This window comes from Homo sapiens, chromosome 12 (genome assembly GCF_000001405.40).
Source record: "Homo sapiens chromosome 12, GRCh38.p14 Primary Assembly".
Lineage (NCBI taxonomy): Eukaryota > Metazoa > Chordata > Mammalia > Primates > Hominidae > Homo > Homo sapiens.
The window spans coordinates 28,389,834-28,409,866 of record NC_000012.12 but is presented as its reverse complement, the minus strand read 5'-3'; the positions used below and the strand labels follow the sequence as shown (position 1 = coordinate 28,409,866).

At 35.3% G+C, this 20,033-nt stretch overlaps 1 protein-coding gene across 37 annotated transcripts in view; it reads right to left on the bottom strand.

Annotated features, from left to right (window-relative positions):
• Window positions 1–20,033, bottom strand: part of CCDC91 (coiled-coil domain containing 91) — a 359,711-nt gene that overhangs the window by 140,300 nt on the left and 199,378 nt on the right. For 31 of the 37 annotated variants that reach the window (NM_001352086.2, NM_001352079.2, XM_047429083.1 and 28 more), the window contains one exon: window positions 18,456–18,563. The exons of the other annotated variants lie outside the window; for them this stretch is intronic. In NM_001352086.2, coding sequence (NP_001339015.1) covers window positions 18,456–18,563 — 108 coding nt within the window. The remainder of the gene's footprint in view (window positions 1–18,455; window positions 18,564–20,033) is intronic. 37 annotated transcript variants of the gene reach the window in all.

The following is a 20,033-nucleotide window of genomic DNA, read 5'->3' as shown; positions in this document are numbered from 1 at the left end:
AAAAAAAAGAAATACATCTGAAAAACACCGACATATTTAGAAACTAAATAAAAACTCTTCTAAATAACCTAGTGGTTAAAAAAAATCAAAAGATAAATTTAAAAGTATTTTGAATTGAAAATGAAAACATGACCTTTGAAAATGTGAAAAATGCACCTAAAGTAGTACTTAGAAGGACATATATATCATTAAATATCTACATTTTAGAAGAAAAGCCTCAATGCAAGACCTAAGCCCCTATTTTAAAACACTAGAATAAATGCAAATTGAAAGCCAATTAAGTTACGTAAATTAAATAATAAAGGTTTCAGAAGAAATCAGTGACATAGAAACTTAAAAATCAATGAAACCAAACGCTGGTATTTGAGAAGGTTAAGAAAAAAGAATTGATAAATCTCTAATAAACTAATCAGCAAAAAGAAAGAAAACATAGATTACAATTATCTAGACTAAGACAAGAGATAATCACCAAAGTTTATAGATATTTTAAAAGGATAAGGGAATATATGAAAAACATGCACACACTTATACTTAACACAAAGATAAACAGGTATATACATTTGTTCAACAAAATGCAACATTTTTTCCTGGAATAAAAACTAGGAATAGAAAGAAAAATACTCAGCTTAATAAAGGGGCTTTGACAAAAACAGGTACAGCTAAAATAATGGAAAAATTAATGCTTTCTTCTTATGATCAAGCAAAAGGCAAAAATATTTGCTTCTCATCTTTCTATTTAAACATTGTATTAGAAGTTTGGCAAGTGCAATAAGAAAAAGAAATAAAAGGTATCAAGATTAAAAAGGAAGATGCAACAACATCCTTTTATACTTAGAAAACATATCTATGTAGAAAATTCTATAAACCCTACAAAAAATGCTGCTAAAACTAACAATTTTAGATAATTACAGAATATAAGATTAAAGTCAGGCATGGTGACTCACCCCTGTAATCCCAGCACTTTGGGAGGCAGAGGTGGGTGGATCACTTGAGGTCAGGAGTTCGAGAGCAGCCTGGCCAACATGGTGAAACCCTGTCTCTGATAAAAACACAAAAATTAGCCAGGCATTGTGGTGCACACCTGTAATCCCAGATACTTGGGAAGCTGAGGCAAGAGAATTGCATGAACCCAGGAGGCAGAGGTTGCAGTGAGCCAAGATCATGCCACTGCACTCCAGCCTGGGATACAGAGCAAGACTCTGCCTCAAAAAAATAAAAAAATAAAAAAATAAACCATCAAAAAGTGAGCAAAGTATATGGACAGACACTTCTCAAAAGAAGACATTTATGTGGGCAACAAATATATGAAACAAAGCTCATCATCCCTGGTCATTAGAGAAATGCAAATCAAAACCACAATGAGATACCATCTCAACGCCAGTCAGAATGGCTATTATTAAAAAGTCAGACGCATGCACAAGTATGTTTATTGCAGCACTATTTACAATAGCAAAGACTTGGAACAAACCCAAATGTCCATCATTGATAGACTGGATAAAGAAAATGTGACACATATATACTATGGAATACTATGCAGCCGTAAAAACAAATGAGTTCATGTCCTTTGCAGGGACATGGATGAAGCTGGAAGCCATCATTCTCAGCAAACTAACACAGGAACAGAAAACCAAACACCACATGTTCTCACCCATAAATGGGAGTTGAACAATGAGAACACATGGACACTGGGAGGGAAACGTCACACACCAGGGCCTACTGGGGGTTGGGGGACAAGGGGAAGGAGAGCATTAGGACAAATACCTAATGCATGTGAGGCTTAAAACTTAGATGACGGGTTGATAGGTACAGCAAACCACCATGGCACATGTATACCTATGCAACAAACCTGCACGTTCTGCACATGTATCCCAGAACTTAAAGTAAAATAAAAAATAAAAAAAATATATATATATATGTATATATCTATGTATATGGTTAAGACCAATTGTGTCCTTATGTCCTAGCAGCAAGCATGAGATAATTGAAATTGAAAACTAAAAACTATAAAAGTTAAACTAACATTGAAAAATATGAACTAGTCAGAGATAAATCTAGCAAAAGATGTAGTAAACCTGAATATTGAAAACTTAGAACACTGCTGAGGGAAATTAAGGAAGACCTAAATAAATGGAGCAATGTACCTGGTTCATAGGTACAAAGACTCAATATTGTGAAAATGTCAGTTCTCCCTAAATTTATTCAACTCAACCAAAATCAACATACCAACAGGCCTTGTTGTAGAAATTGCTTGGTGGATTATAAAAGTTACATGGAAATGGAAAGAACCTAAAATATCCAAAACAACTTTGTAAAATAAAAACAATACTGGATTATAAAAGTTATGTGGAAATGCAAAGAACCTAAAATATCCAAAACAACTTTGCAAAATAAAAATAATGGAGGGCTTACAGTACTTGATTTCAAAACTGACTAAATATCCATGCTAAATAAAGCAGTATCATAATGGAGTAAAGTTTGACAAATAGATACATGAAAGAGAATAGAGAATCAAGTGATAGATCCACATATATATGGTCGATTGATTTTTGACAAACGTACTGTATTATTCCATTCTTGCATTGCTATAAAGAAATACCCGAGACTAGATAATGTATAAGAAAAGTGGTTTAATGGGCTCGCTGTTCTTCAGGCTGTACAGAAAACACAGAAGCATCTCCTTTTGGGGAGTAGGCCTCAGGAAGCTTCCAATCATGTTGAAAAGCAAAGGGGGAGCAAGCACATCACATCGTAAAAGCAGGAGCAAGACACGGGGTGGGAGGTGGCACACGTTTAAACAATCACTTCTTGGGAGAACTTACTGTCATGAGGATAGAACCAAGGGGATGGTACTAAATCATTCATGAGAAAACTGCCTCCATGATTCAATGACTTCCCACCAGGCCCCAACTCCAACACTGGGAATTTAAATTCAACATGAGATTTGTGTGGGCACAAAGATCCAAACCATGTCATGTACAAAAGAAATCCACTGGTAAAAGAATAGGCTTTTCAGCAAATAAGACTGGAAGAGTTGGGTATTGATATTCAAAAAAAAATAGTTAAAATCTGATACCATATATAAAAATCAACTCAAAATGAATGATTCATAAACTATGAATTAAAACTATAAAACTTTAATAGAACATAGGAAAAACCTCTTTTGATATTGAGTTAGGCAATGGTTTCTTGGATAAGACACCCAAATTATAACCACAGAAGAAAAATTGATGAGTTGGATTTCATATAACCTTAAAACTTCTGCTCTTAGAAACATATCAGGAAAATAAAAAGACAAGCCACAGACTGTGATAAAAACAATTGCAAATCACATACTGATGAAGGGTTTATATCTAGAATATATCAAGAACTCTCATAACTCAATCATAAGAAAACAACAAATGAGCAAAATTGTGAAAACACATTTTACATATACTTTACCATACAACCTAGCTAGGTATTTGATCATACGACCTAGCTAGGTCTCTACTGCTAATAACTTATCCAAGAAAAATAAAAGCATGAGTCCATACAAAGACTTGTACACTAATAACGACTTTCTCAAAAATTGAGGGATTTTTTTTTTTTTTTTATTGGAAGAACAGGCTCGCAAGAAATGTTAAAAGTAGAGATTTCCACCATGAAGAATAGCTAATGGATGCTGGGCTTAATACCTAGGTGATGGGTTGATCTGTGCAGCAAACCATCACCATGCACACGCTTACCTATGTAACAAACCTGCACATCCTGCACATGTACCCTGGAACTTAAAAATTGAGGAAAAAATAATGTCACCTGGGCTGAGCTAGCTGGCTGATGGGAATCACCTGGAATGAGCTAATTACCTGATTGGATTCACCATTCGTAAGGGGGATGCATAGGGTAGTTACTGCTGACATACTCTTATTTTGCAGATTTTTTTTACAAAACATACTACTGAATGGACATTACATAGACATTATAACTATATGTGCTTGCATATGTTTATTTATCTACATATCTCATATCTGTTATCTAAATATATAGGACAAAAAGTATTCAAAAAATCCAAAATTTGCTTATAGCATCACAATCTGCCTTCAAGTCACAAACCTTGGCTTTTCTACCACTACCAAAGAAGTCACTTTTCCAGCCAACAAAACCAAAATACAGAACTTTATTCTGATGTCACATGTTGAAAAATAGAAGCCCTGAAAGGGATGGATGCTTTGAAGAGAATTATTCAGCATTTTCAAATTTCAGTGAGTACCTTTAAGCTGAGGCTAATTTATGTATCATCTTGTGTTCACCAGAATAAAAAGAAACATTTTTGATCTGGCCAAAGAAAAAGTAGAGCTTTAGAGAAAAGAAAAGTTATATAGGTCAGACGCTTGAAACTACATAAACATGGAAAAAGCATCTGAGAAGGAATAAGTGAATTAAAACTTTTTCTTTTTCTTAACTGATGCAACATATAATGGTTTCTTTAAAATAACAATAGCAACAATATATATGAGTATGTATACTTCTGTGTAAGTAAAATGAATGACATCAATGATATAAGCACCAGGATAAAAAAACTTGGAATACTTTAGTATTGTAAGGTACTCACAGTACCTGTGAAATGGCATAACATCATTTGAAAATGAATATGGGTTACTAGTAAATGTATAGTGTGAACTTTAGGGCAACCACTTAAAAAGTAAGAAAAAAAATTATAACTAATAGGCTAAGACAGGAGAGAAAATTAAATCATAAAATTTTCAATTTGAACCAGAAAAGGTAGAAAAAGTATGAAAGACAAAAATAGAAACCAAAAAAAAGAGCAACAAATAGAAAAGAATAACAAATATGGTGGAAATGAATCCAACTCTATCAATAATCATTGTAAATGTCAATGGTCTATTGTAAATGTCAATGGTCTAAAAACACCAATTAAAAGACAGAAATATAATAGAGCAAAAAACAAGACCCTCCAGTATGCTGTCTATGAGAAATCCACTTTGAATATAAAGACACATTTATATTAAAAGTAAGTGGATAAAGACAGAGGTATTATGGTAACACTGATGAAAAGAAACACATGTAGCTATATTAATTTCAGAAGACTTCAGAGCAAAGAAAGTTATTAAGGATAAAGAAGGGCATTATATAATAATAAAAGTGTTGATTCTCCAAGAAAACATGGCAATACTTAGTATGTATGTCCCTAATAACAGAGCAGCAAAATGCATGAGGCAAACACTTACAAAACTGCAAGGAAAAATAAAATAATTCATTATTAAAGTTGGAGACTTCAATTGCCCCCACTTCTCAGAAATAGATCTAGCAGGCAAAAAATCAGAAAGGATGTAGCTGAACTCAACAACACCAAGATCAACTCAATATAAAGGAAGTCTATATACTGCAACCAGCAATAGCAGAATATGCATTCTTTTCAAACTCACATGTAACATTTTCTAACATAGACCAAATTCGGGACCATAAAACAAAACTCAAGAAATTTAAAAGAGTAGAAATCACAAAATGTGGTCTGCTTTCAGACCACGGTGGAATTAAACTAGAAAATCAATAATAGGAGAATAGCTAGAAAATCCAACAATATTTACAGATTAAATAACACATTACTAAACAACAAGAAAAATCTCAAAAGATATTGAAAATATTTTTAATAAAACACAACTTATCAAAATTTATAGACACACCGAAAGAGGTGCTTAGAGGAAAATTTAAAATATTGAATTCATGTATTAGAAGAGAAGAAAGATCTAAAATTAACAATCTAAGTTTCCACCTTTGGAAATAAGTAAACAAGAGTAAATTAAATCTAAAATAACATAAAAATACTAAAAATAAGAGAAGCAGAAATCAATGAAATTAAAAACAAGAAATGGAAAAATCAATAAAACCAAAAGCTGGTTGTTTGAAAAGATCAGTAAAAACTGATAAGGCTCTAGCAGACTAGCCAAGAAAAAAGAAGAAATGAACACAAATTACTAATGTCAGAAATGAAATAAGGGATATCACTACAGATCCCATGAACATTAAAAGAAAAATAAAAGAATACTACGGACAACTGTATGCCTACAAATTTGATAACTTCCATTAAATGGACCAAGTCTTTAAAAGATTATTTGCTGAAACACACAAGAAGAAACAGACAATCTGAGTAGGCCTATATCTATTAAATACATTAAATCAATAATTAATAACTGCTATAGTTGGAATGTTTGTGTCTCCAAATTCATATGTTGAAATCCTAGCCACCAAGTTCATGGTATTAGGAGGGGGGGCATTTGGGAAGTATTAAGTCATGAAAGTTAGGTGATTAGTACCCTTATTAAAGAGACCCCAGAGATATGGGGTCATGGTAGAAGGGATAAGACCCCAGAGACATCCCTTATCTCTTCTGCCACATGAAATTAGAGTAAAAAGACAGCCATCTAGAAAGCAGGCCCTCAACAGACACCAAATCTGCAGGTACCTTGATCTTGGACTTCTTAGTCTCTAGAACTGTAAGAAGTAAATTTCTATTGTTTACAAGCCACCAGTTTATAGTATTTTGTTACAGCACCCCAAAGAGGCTAAGACAACAACCTTCCAAACAGAAAGCACCTGGCCCAGATAACTTTGCTGGTGAATTCCAACAAAACATCTAATTAAATAATTATAACAATACTGTACAATCTCTTCCAGAAGATAGAAACAGAGAGAATACTTCCTGATTCATTCCATAAAGCCAGCATTACCCTAATGTCAAAACCAGACAAATACATCACAGGAAAAGAAAACTATAGATCAATAATCATAAACATTTTGTGAGACACCAAAAATCCTTAATATTAACAAATTGAATCCAGCAGCATAGCAAAAGAATCATACATGACAACGATGTGGCATTTATGCCAAGGTATGCAAATCTGGTTCAACTTTTAAAAATCATTTAATGTAACCCACCATATCAACAAGCTAAAGAAAAATAGCATAATCATATCAATAAAATGGTCAAAGCACTTTACAAAAATCCAACACACGTTCATGATTAAAAACTCTCAGCAAACTAGGAGTAGAAGAGAACTTCCTCAACTTGATAAAGAATAACAATAAAAATTCTACAGCCAAGATCATATTTAATGGTGAAAAACTAGAAGCTTTTCCAATAAAATCAGGAATAAGGCAAGTATTCCCTTTCTCGCAACTGCTTTTCAACATTGCACTGAAATCCTAGCTAATGCAGTAATACAAAAAAAGGAAATAAAAGGTATATGGATTGAGAAGAAAGAAATAATTTTTTTTTTTTTTTGCAGATGACATGATTGTCTGTGTAGAAAATCCAAAGAGTAGACAAAAAAAAAAAAAAAAAAAAAAAATTCCTGGAACTAATAAGTGATTCAGCAAACTTGTAGAATACAAGGATAATATACAAAAAAGTCAAATACTTTCTTATATATCACAGTGAACAAGTGGAAGATGAAATTTAAAACACATTAACATTTAGCATCCTTCTAATTGAAACATTTAGCTTTAAATCTAACAAAATATGTACAAGATCTATAAGAGGAAAACTACAAAACTCTGATGAAAGAAATCAAAGAACTATTCAAAAATAAAGACAGTCAACGTTCATAGATAAGAAAACTCAATATTGTCAAAGTGTCAGCAATATCTAGCGATATTTCTGGTTATCACAACTGAGCGTGTGCCATGGCATCTAGGGGTAGACGTGACGGATGCTGTTAAGTATCATGTAACGCACAGGGGAATCCCCCACAACACAAAAAAATTCAACCCCTAATGTCAATAATGCCAATGCTGAGAAATACTAGATCAATGGAACAAAATTCAGAGTCCAGAAATCTGCATTTCATATAGTTGTAAGACTTTCTCCAAAGGTATGGGGGTAATCGATAGTCTTTTCTATAAATGGTATTGGAATAGACTGGCAGAGAGAAGAACGTTGACTGTCTCATCACACTGTATCTCCAAATTACCTCAAAAATTAATCATAATTAAGAATCACAAACTTAACCTAGGAAAACATACAAAACTTCTTTTGATACAAGAAAAAATCTTTGTGACATATGGTTAGGCAAAGATTTCTTACATACAACATTAAAAACACAATCTATAATAGAAAACATGATTGATATAGTTTGGCTCTGTGTCCTCACCAAATCTCATCTTGAATTGTAATAAGCCCTGTGTGTCAAAGGCAGGACCAGGTGGAGATAACTGAATCATGGGGGCAATTTCCCCCATGCTGTTCTCCTGATAGTGAGTTCTCACCAGATCTGATGGTTTTATAAGAGGCTTCCCTCTTCCCTCAGCACTTATTCTCTTTCCTGTTGCCCTGTGAAGCAGCTCCTCTGCCATGATTTTAAGTTTCCTGAGGCCTCCTGATATGGTGTCCCCACCCAAATCTTATCTTGAATTGTAGTTCCCATAATCCCCACATGTCGTGGGAGGTACCTTATGGGAGGTAATTTAATCATGGGGGCAGTTATCCTTATACTGTTCTTGTGATAGGGAGTTCTCATTAGAACTGATGGTTTTATAAGGGGCTTTTCCCACTTTTTCTTGGCACTTCTCCTTGTTGCTGTCATGTGAGGAAGGACATGTTTGTTTCCCCTTCCACCATGATTGTTAGTTTCCTGAGGCCTCCGCAATCGTGCTGAACTGTGAGTCAATTAAACCTCTTTCCTTTATAAATTACCCAGTCTTGGGTATGTCTGTATTAGCAGCATGAAACGAACTAATACTGTAAATTGGTACCACAGAGAGTGGGTACTGCTGTAAAGATACCCGAAAATGTGGAAGTGACTTTGGAACTGAGTAACAGGCAGAGATTGGAACCATTTGGAGAGCTCAGAGGAAGATAGGAAAATGTGGGAAAGTTTGGAACTTCCTAAAGGCTTAGAGGACTCAGGAGCCAGGAAGATGTGGGAAAGTTTGGAACTTCTGAGAGACTTACTTAATGGCTTTGACCAAAATGCTGATAGTGATATGGACAATAAGTCCAGGCTAAGGTGGTCTCAGATGGAGATGATGAACTTGTTGGGAACTGGGGCAAAGGTCACTCTTGCTATGCAAAGAGACTGGCGGCATTTTGTCCCTGCCCTAGAGATTTGTGGAACTTTGAATTTGAGAGAGATGATTTAGCATATCTAGTGGAAGAAATTTCTAAGCAGCAAAGCATTCAAGTGGTGACTTGGGTGCTGTTAAAAGCATTCAGTTTTATATATTCACAAAGATATGGTTTGGAATTGAAACTTATGTTTAAAAGGGAAGTAGAGCATAAAAGTTGGGAAAATTTGCAGTCTGACAATGTGACAGAAAAGAAAAACCCATTTTCTAAGGAGAAATTCAAGCCTGCAGCAGAAATTTGCATAAGTAACAAGGAGCCAAATGTTACTTGCCAAGACAATGGGGAAAATATCTCCAGGGCATGTCAGAGGTCTTCACAGCAGTCCCTCTCATCACAGACCTGGAGGCCTAGGGGGGAAAAATAGTTTCCTGGGCCAGTCCTAGGGTGGGGGTGGGGGTGGGGGTGTGGAGAGACCTCAGGACATGGTGCCCTGCATCCCAGCTGCTTCAGCTCCAGCCATGACTAAAAGGGGCCAACGTACAGCTCATGCTATTGCTTCAGAAGGTGCAAGCCCCAAGCCTTGGCATGTGGTATTGAGCATGCAGGTGCACAGAAATCAAGAATCGAGGTTTGGGAACTTCCACCTAGATTTCAGAGGATGTATGGAAATGCCTGGATGTCCAGGCAGAGAAGTTTGCTGCAGGGGTGGACCCATGATGGAGAACCTCTGCTAGGGCAGTGAGGAAGGAAACTGTGGGGTCAGAGCCCCCACACACAGTCCCCTCTGAGGTACTGCCTAGTAGAACTGTGAGAAGAGGGCTACCATCCTCCAGGCCCCAAAATAGTAGTTCCACCAACAGCTTACACTGTGCGCCTGGAAAAGCCACACTCAATGCCTGCCCATGAAAGCAGCCAGGAGGAGGCCTGTACCCTGCAAAGCCATAGGAGTAGAGCTTCCCAAGGCCTTTGGAGCCCACCTTTTGCATCAGTGTGAGCTGGATGTGAGACATGGAGTCAAAGATCATTATGGAATTTTAAGGTTTAATGACTGCCCTATTGGATTTCTGGCTTGCATGGGGCCTGTAGCCCCTTTATTTTTGCCAATTTCTCCCATTTGGAATAAGTGCATCTATCCAATGTCTGTATCTCCATTGTATCTAGGAAGTAACTAACTTGCTTTTGATTCTACAGGCTCATAGGCAGAAGGGATCTGCCTTGTCTCAAATGAGGCTTTGGACTTGGACTCTTGAGTTAATGCTGGAATGAGTTATGACTTTGCAGGACTGTTAGAAGGGCATGATTGGGTTTTGAAATGTGAAGTCAAGAGATTTGGGAGTGGTCAGGGTGAAATGATATGGTTTGGCTGTGTCTCTACCCAAATCTCATCTTGAATTTTGGTTCCCATAATCCCCAAGTGTTGCAGGAGAAACCCAGTGGGAGGAAATCATGGTGGCAGTTACCCTCATGCTGTTCTCATGATAGTTGAGTTCTCACAAGATCTGATGGTTTTAAAGGGGCTTTTCCCCCTTTGCTCGGTATTTCTCCTTGCTGCTGTCATGTGAAGAAGGACATGTTTGCTTCCCCTTCTGCTATGATTGTAAGTTTCCTGAAATGTGAGTCAATTAAACCTCTTTCATTTATAAATTACCCAGACTCAGGAATGTCTTTATTAGCAGGGTGAAAACAGACTAATAAACCTCCCCAGCCATGCAGAACTGTCAGTTAAATCTCTTTTCTTTATAAATTACCCAATCTTGGGTATTTCTTCATAGTAGTGTGAGAGCTGACTAATAACAATGATAAATTTGAAATAAAAATTAAAAAGCTTTGTTTGTCTAATGATACCATCCAAGAAGTGAAAAGGAAGACAGAAACTATGAAAAAATATTTGTAGTGCACATATCTGTCAAAGGATTTGTATCTGGAATTTATGAAAAACTCATGAATATTTACGAAAGTAGACAACATAATAAAATAAGCAAAAAGATTTGAATATACACTTTACAAAGAAAATGTACAAATAAAAAGCACATGAAAAGATGTTAACCTTCAACAGCCAAATAAGTGCAATGAGATGAAATACCACACCCCATTCCCCCAAAGCTGGCTAAAGTGAAAAAGATGGACAATACCAAGTGCTGAGAGAGCAGATCAAAGAGAATTCTCATACATTGATAGTGAGAATGTCAAATATAATAAAACTTTGGAAAAAATTTTGGCAGTTGGTTTTAAAGTTAAACATATACTTACCATATGACACAGCAATTCCTTACCTAGATATTTACAAACAAAAATAAAAACATATATATCCCCACACAGTTTATATGCAAACATTTAAAGCAGCCCCAAATTTAAGCAATCTAAATATTTAATAAGTGAATGAATAAACAAAATGCTACGTTTCCATACAATAGAATACTACTTAGCAATCAAAGGGTATAAATTATTAATACATGTGACTATATGGATGAATCTCAAAAAAATCTAGACACACAAGAAGCACCTAGACATACAAGAATAGATACCATATAATTCATTCTATATGAAATAACAGAAAAAATGAAACAAATCAATAGACAGACTATAGATTAGTGGGTTGTCAGGATCCAGAGTTTATAGAAGGAAGGTAATTATAAAGGATAAGAGAACTTCTTGTGTTGATAGAAATGTTCTATATCTTGATTGTTGATGATAGATATATGAGTGTATATATTTCTATAGAATGAGTACATTTAATTTTATGTAGAGCTCACTCCAAAAAGTTGATAGATTTGGGGAATACAGAATAAATATATAACCTAGCTCTCATGGAATTTATATTCTAGCACTCAATTCAACAAAGTACTTGTAACTCTAAGGGAATAAACAGGAATATGTTTAAAATGTGTGTGGGTTGCTATCGGTTATTTTTGACAAGGCATTATGGGCAAAAGCCAGGCTTGGTTTTCTTTTTTAATAAAAGATTAAGGGCAACATAATAATACAGATAGTGTCTCTATCTTATGTGTATTGGTAGCATTTTATATATATCTATTAATAGCACTTAAGGAATTATAAATAGCATATTGTACTTATCCTTTATAGGAATTTGGATTTTATAAGTAGTGATGGAAAGTAACTCAAAAAAAATTCATAAATGCTATAATCAAAGATACAAATAGTATTTAAAATTATATTTACATCTATACACATGTATACCCCACTGCATACACACATAGGCCCCTCAAAATATTTGCTTACCTAAGACAGGTTAGTCTCCACTCATTGCTTCCTTCTTAGGACTCCACTCCATCAATTTTTTTTTTTTAATCTTTCTAGACTGGGGCTCTCGCCCATACATTTAAATGAGCTCTACTTCTAGGCCGAAATACAAGGGAAACCAACAAATAAAAATGTTTCCACTTCATAGGTCCCTCTACCTACAGTGTTGTCTCTTACTTTTATCATCTAAGCTCCTCAAAGACTTGTCATCTGTTTCTTTACTTTCACCTTTCATTTACTTCTCATCCTGTAATCTACTTTGTTCTTCCACCACTCTGTTGAAACTACTCTTGTTAGTGATACTTTCTTGTTGCCATATGAAATGGTCATTTATGTGTCCTTATCTTGTTTATTCTGCAAACTTTGAAAATGTTAGCAACTCTCTCTTTGCAAAATGCTCTGTATTTCTGGGTTTCCTACTATCTTTCTTTCCAGAGAGTTTCCTTCATGAGCTGTCTTAGCCTATCCCTTATATGTTAAGGTCTCTCAAAGTTGAATTATTTTCTCATTTTATATATTCTCTGATCTCATCCATAGATACACTTTCAATGACCATCTATATACTTAGGACTATATACTTACATGACTTTCAAATTCATCTATTACCAGCTTTCTCGTAAGTTCTCCACCCTGGATTCAACTGTCTGACAGCTCTGGCATCTTGCACAGGCAATATAAACTCAACATATCCAAAACTAAAAATTTTCAACCCAAACCATGCTTCGTGTCTTAAGTTGCCTATTTCAGTGAATTGCCAAAACCAAAAATTTGGACCCCATACAGAAAAATATATTCTATTACATAAAAACATACTTATATATATAAAATATATGTGTTTGTGTCACAAACACACACACACATGCCCACACACACACACACACACACACACACACACACACAAAATCTCCTTTATCAATGAGCATCTACTGCTGCTCTTGTATTCCCACAAAGTCTCCGGTTTCTCTTCCCTTAATATCACTCAAAACCATCAAAATCTCTCTATTCTTACCCACACACTTTAGTTTGGGCTACCAACATTCTCATTTGGGTAGCTAAAATAGCTGTTTAACTATTTTACATGCTACTAATATTCCCTCCGATCAATTTTTATACTTTAGCCACAGTAGTATTTCTAAAATGCAAATCTGAACAAATGTCACTTCTCTAGATAATCCCTTTTAATAGCACCCAATGTTCTTTCAGACAATGTGGCAGGTAAGGTCCTTTATGATCCTTCCTATGAAATATAGTCATTTTTCATTTAGCACCCTCATATGGTCTTACCCTTAACACTTATATTTTCTCAAATGAAAGATTTTTAATATGCAATTCCATCTGCCTCTTTCATGCTAATCTCTCAGTTCTGACCTCACTTAGATGCCTTAACTTTGAGAGAACTCATCATTAGTCCTATAAGTCTTCCTTCACCTAATACTATGGAACTTTATGCCCTTGAATGTAGTTTTGTATTACTATTTATTCCATCCTAACTTATATGATTTTAAAATTATATCATCTGTTCTACTGCTTACTAGAAGAACTATGTCTCACTCCCTCTCTCACTGTTACGTTCCTATAACCAAGCCGAGTGCCATGTCATACAAAAGTCCCTCATTAAATAAAGAGGAGAGAGGGACTGTGATACACTAAGAAATACACTGGTCTTTGTACAGTGTCATAAAGCACAGCACTTCTATGTATTCAGCAACCCAGAAGCTTTCTGAACTCCTTCATTTAGGAGTTTCATTATATAGGTGTAACTTATTAAGCCATTGGATGCTGGAGGGATGAGGCTGAAAGTTTCAACCCTTTATTCATGCCTCGGTTTTTCTGATGATAGCCCCCATGCTGATCTCGAAGCTACCACAGATACTCTTATCACCCTGAAAATTCCAAGATTTTAGGATCTCTGTACCAGGCTCCTTCCTTCCCCATAACTTGTCCTATGTATTTCTTCCATCTGTCCATTCCTGAGTTGTATCCTTTATGACAAACCAAGAAACGTAAGTAAAATGTTTCCCCGAGTTCTGTGAGCCATTCTAGCAAATTATCAAACTGGAAGGGGAGACCAGTTGTGGAAACTCATAACACTGTAGTCAAGTCAGAGGAAAGTGTGGGTACCCTGGGGACCTAATACTTGCAACTGGCATCTGAAGTGAGGTCAGTCTTCTGGGACTGAGCTGTTAAACTTGTGAAGTCGAACGTTAACTTTGATGAGTTAGTGTCAGAATGGAATTGAATTGTAGAACACCGATTTGGTGTCCAGGCAGTTGGAGAACTGGTTGTTGATGCAGAAAACTCCCACACATCTGGTGTCAAAAGTGTAAGTTGAAACAGTACAGAGGAAGAAAAGGTTGGTCTAGTATTCATATACAACAGTGACACCAAAGTAAATTTTGTAAAAAGTAAAGGTTCTTTGACAAGACAACATATGAAATACCAGTAACAAACTTTTCTTCTAAAGACTAGAAATTAGAAAACCTGAATCCCAGCCCTGGTTCTGATACTAGCTATACAAACAGTCTTAGCTAAGAATTACAAAGATAATGCAGCCAATAAACACCCAGAATATGTCAAGCTCTAATCTAAGCACTATTGCACATCTGATGTCATATAATACATATAATAGTACTATGAGGTAGTAATTACTTGTGTATCTCATCCATAGAGGAAAAAAATGAGGCACAGAGAGATTAAGAGACTTGCCCTAAGTGACAAAGCCAGGGATCAATTCATATAGTCTGACTCTAGAGTGCAGGCTTCTAATTATTCTGCTTTAGAATTAACTGAAATTCTTAATCTGAAAAAGGGGGAGAGAGAGAGAGAGAGAGAGCAAGAAACAGAAAAGGTTGAACCAAATGATTCCTAAGGAACCATCCAGCTATTAGATTTGCGCTTTTCTCAAAGACATTTCTGCTGTTGTTAAACTGAAGGTACTAATTTCATTTCAAATGGCATCTTAAGAAATATAATTTGAAAAACAAATGTGGAGTCACCATTTCTATATGTTACATGATGTTATTAATACATACTAATCAAATCTCCCTTTAATCTTTGTTTTTTTTTTGTTTGTTTGTTTTTTTGAGACAGACTCTCTGTCGCCCAGGCTGGAGTGCAGTGGCATGATCTCGGGTCACTGCAAGCTCCACCTCCCAGGTTCACGCCATTCTCCTGCCTTAGCCTCCGGAGTAGCTGAGACTACAGGTGCCCGCCACCACACCCGGCTAATTTTTTGTATTTTTAGTAGAGACGGGGTTTCACCCTGTTAGCCAGGATGGTCTCAATCTTCTGACCTTGTGATCGGCCCGCCGTGGCCTCCCAAAGTGCTGGGATTACAGGCGTGAGCCACTGCAACGACTAATCTTTGCTTTTTAAGTAGCACTTAAAAAGCATCATACTGAACCGCTTATAATCCTATAAACGTCCTGGGGTGTTCTTCACCAAGTATATCCAATCAACAAACAGGGGATATCTTTCCATTTCGTTACGTCATTTTAAATTTCTTTCAGCAATGTTTTGTAGCTTGTAGAATACAAGTTTCTTATCACCTTGGTTAAACGTAGATACTATTGTAAATGAAACTGCTTTCTTAACTTCCTTTCCAATTTGTCATTTCTGGTGTGTAGAAACACACTGATTTTCATGTGTTAATCTTTTAATCTGTAACTTGGCTGAATCCTTTTAATAACTCCATAATAGGCCACTTTTGAGAAGGCATTATAAGAAAAAGACAAGCTCAACACCGAATTCATAGAAAAAAGAAAATTCTCAAGCATCAAATCACAGGAAATAGAAAAGTACAGAAATCTGAAGACTTGCATGCACAACCACTTAAGAAACAACTGAGAAGGCTTTCAGCAACAAATACCAACTACATTTGGCCTTGCAGCAAGTAGTAAACTAAGTATGTTAGCCACACTCACTATTAAAAACTCAATAAAGTGCCTCCAAGCACAGATAAAATAAAGCTATGGCTGTTTTAGGCTATATGGTTTAGGGAAAAGAGACAAGATTTCTTCCACCCTAGTTTGATAAAATGAACATATCTCTGCAATAAAATAGGAGAGACAGACAGACAAATATGAGGTTCAAAGCATATAAACATATTAAATTTAGAAAGCGGTTCTCTAACTTTACAAAGGCAGGCTAGTAAAAAAAAAAAAAATTTCAAAAAGAAAAAAAAATACAAAGTAGTTCTCTAAAACAACTGTGGATACGGCCTTAACAGAGCTGACTACTATAAAGGACAAGATACCAAAGGAATCATTACCCTTAACTGTAACTATTTGCTACTTAAAACGACCCCTGGGCTCCCAATATTTTGTAGACAGGAAGCAGGTTCAGAAATGGTATAATCTTCAAAATCCATTTGAAATATAGTAAACAAAGATACTGAAAAATAAAAAACCTACAAGACCCCAAAGAGCAACAGACTAGGAACGCTGTCAAAAAAAACTCTGAAAAGATAATCATGGGAAATGAAAGAGCAATCCCTACTCGTGGGCAGAGGCTCTTATTTAATCTATCCAGTGAGATTTTAAAGTTGTTACATACTAATGATAGCTGTGTGTCTCTAATTTTTCACCTTTCCTATTGAAAATGTTTACAGTAAATACCCTACCTTTGTCTCACCACTGTATACTAGGCATGTTGGGAATAAACAATTTAGATTTTAGTTCTACTTCTTCAGGTCAAAAGGGACCACATCTGGACCTGATAATGGAGAGAATACAGCACACTATTCCCCTCCTATTTTCCCAGAGTTCCTGGACTTTTGAGCTTGAGGCCATGGCTGAATGGAACTTTTAGATTTTCTCCCAGGAGGACAAGATAGGTTAATTTGCCTGTGAGATAGAGACTTTGACTATTTGGTGAACAAAAGAAAAGAATGTGGTATATTTGTGCTATTCACTAAGTATTTCCAGTTCTCTCCCTTCTAAGTTCATAGTAGGCTCTCACTCTCTGGCCCCATTGTGATTGGGTGGAACCATGTGGATATAAATTGAAATCGAATGTGTCATTTCCAGGCCAGAGTATTTAATTACAGATACAAATCTAACACGGCTCTCTTTCACTTCGAAATTGTATCAGGTAATGTTCCACGTCGCAATTACAATATCAGTAGAGTTCCCAGGGTGAGGACAACATGAGACAGGGCCCCAAGACAGACCTCAATGAGTATGTAGCATGAGTAAAATATAAACTTTTGCTATTTGAAGCCAGAGAGTTTAGGGCACAACCAAGTCCATTCCGGCTAATATATGCCTCATGCTGTTTCTATCCATTCATAAAGTTTTATATTTCATATCTCTGGCAGCCTGGTATTTCACTACCTAAAACAGTATAATTGTATTTGTGTATTTCTCTGTGTATTTCCTCTTCCAAGCCACTTATTAAAATGACATTGAAAAATACTTAATAGAACTGACCCCAATCTTGAGAATAAGGTGGTATATTTATAATCTCCATTTAAATTCTACTCCTAATTTTATTTCTTAATTCTCAGTAAATTTTCTTCCAATGATATAACACAGATGCTCTATATGAAGTCAATTTAATTTTCACATTCCAAATTTTATATCTTTGAGAAATATTACTAGGAAATTCTTACATACATTATTTATGCTATGACACATCTATAAATCTTCAGCTGCTTTGTTTAATGTAAAGCAGTGAATAATTTAAGCTAAGATATTAAATCAAGAAAAGAAAAAAATTTGAATAGAAAAACTCAAATAGAAGCCAATGCCTGTACAGAATGAAAGGTAACATAAACATACATAGGTGCTTTAAAAATTCAAATGTTATTTATAAATCTTATCTCACTAAAAATCATTTACTCGCCATAATGCATTCATAGATATCTCTTTGCTTCTGTTATTTGGAGAATATATTATAACCCATAAATTAACACAAGAATAATCATTAATGTGGGGGAGACCCACATATTTCAGGTCTTACGTTCTATTTTGAGTCTGTCATAAAATTCTCAATCTTTGAGTTTACATAAGCACATTTTTTCTCCAAAATACACCAAGTAAATGGAACAGAACTGAATAAACAGTTATAGAGCTCTCAGGGGAGAGAGTCAGGGGAAAAGTATAAATATATAATGGATGTGCACTTTTATTACCTGAGCATTTAGCAACTCCTCACACTTGTGTGCCTGTTTCTCAATTGCAGAAATGTACTGTTTTTCAATAGCTTCTACTTGTTGCTTAACTGAAGACTGCAGTAGTGCCTGAAAACAAGCAAAAAAGTCATTTGGATCACAGACAAAACTTGGGAATCTACTGTTGGCACGAGAATATTTTTGACAGTTGTACATACTGTAATACGATATTCTCCTAAATTACAAAATATGTATTTGTTAATACTGAAGCACATTTATATATAACATTACTTTCAGCTTTTGCTTTTACATTTTCCTATTGCCAAGATAACAATTTTTTGGCTCAGACGTTCCTTCCACACATCTTCTCCTTAAAAAGGCCAAGTCACAGAAGATGATAGAGAGGGTGAGTAGTTCTGTTAAATATAAATTTGGTTCAGTGAAGACCACACAGGATGAAGAGTGTATGAAAGCTGCTGAAAAAAAAAAAAAAAGAAAGAAAAAGAAAAAAGGAAAAAAAGGCCAGACATATTTCACTGGCTGACAAAACTCCACATCCTCTCGGCACACTGTAATATCCCATGGGCCAAGCATGATCTTCAAGACCACAAGTCAAGTAAAAGCAGATGGAAACTCTGAGCAACTTCAAACATTAAAGAACTGCCCCCCAGGAAGTTCACGCTCCTAATGTGAAAAGGTATAAGTCAAAGTAGGTAAGTCAAGAGTCTCAAGGCAGTACGCATAAAAAGTAATAAAACTTGGGAGGCTGAGCATACTTAATTGGATACTGTAAATGCTGGAACTCAAGTCAGATAAATATAAAGATATTACCACTGTTTCAAGGAAAACCAAATCAGCATTTGATGATGTTTCACCCACTCACTTCCTTATTAGAGATGCTTAGAATATTATCATCTTTTTTCTTTCTCTCTGTTTAGCTTTGTATGTTATATCAACAAGTTCTCAGTAATATCTTTCATGCTATTTATAAACTCTAAATCATTCTATAAGAACTCTAGCAAATATTCTATTTTTAGATGTCTGTTTAAACTACTCATAACCAAAATAATAAGTTGAAACAGACATGTCTTATAGAAAACAGACCGTTGGCATATTCACCAAGAAAAAAAAAATCAGCCAAATCTCTTAATCTCTGTTATGAATACAGATTTACTTGGTTGAAAACACCATGTATTAAGATGCTGGATAAATAGGCATGTATTTTTAAAAGCTGAGACAAAAATATTTTTAAAACTTCTAAATAAGTCTCAAATTTTCAAACTAACTTTCTTGTGCAAAAGTAAGATTCTCTGATGATGCTACTACTCCTACAATTCAGTATTCGTCACTATGAAGCTGCAAATTACTAGCACATTAGTAAAGGAAAATAAAGCTCTGAGTTTTATCAAAATATAAGGAAAATGCTTACTAGAATTGCTTTAACCCTTGATTTACAGTGTCTTCCAAAGATTCCACAATGATTAATTTATGTAAGGCACAAAAGCTTAATCCTTTTAAAATGTGACTAGATGATATAAATCTAACTTACCTGTGTGGAAACATACCATTTGTTGGGATTTCAGAAAAGTTAAAAAATAA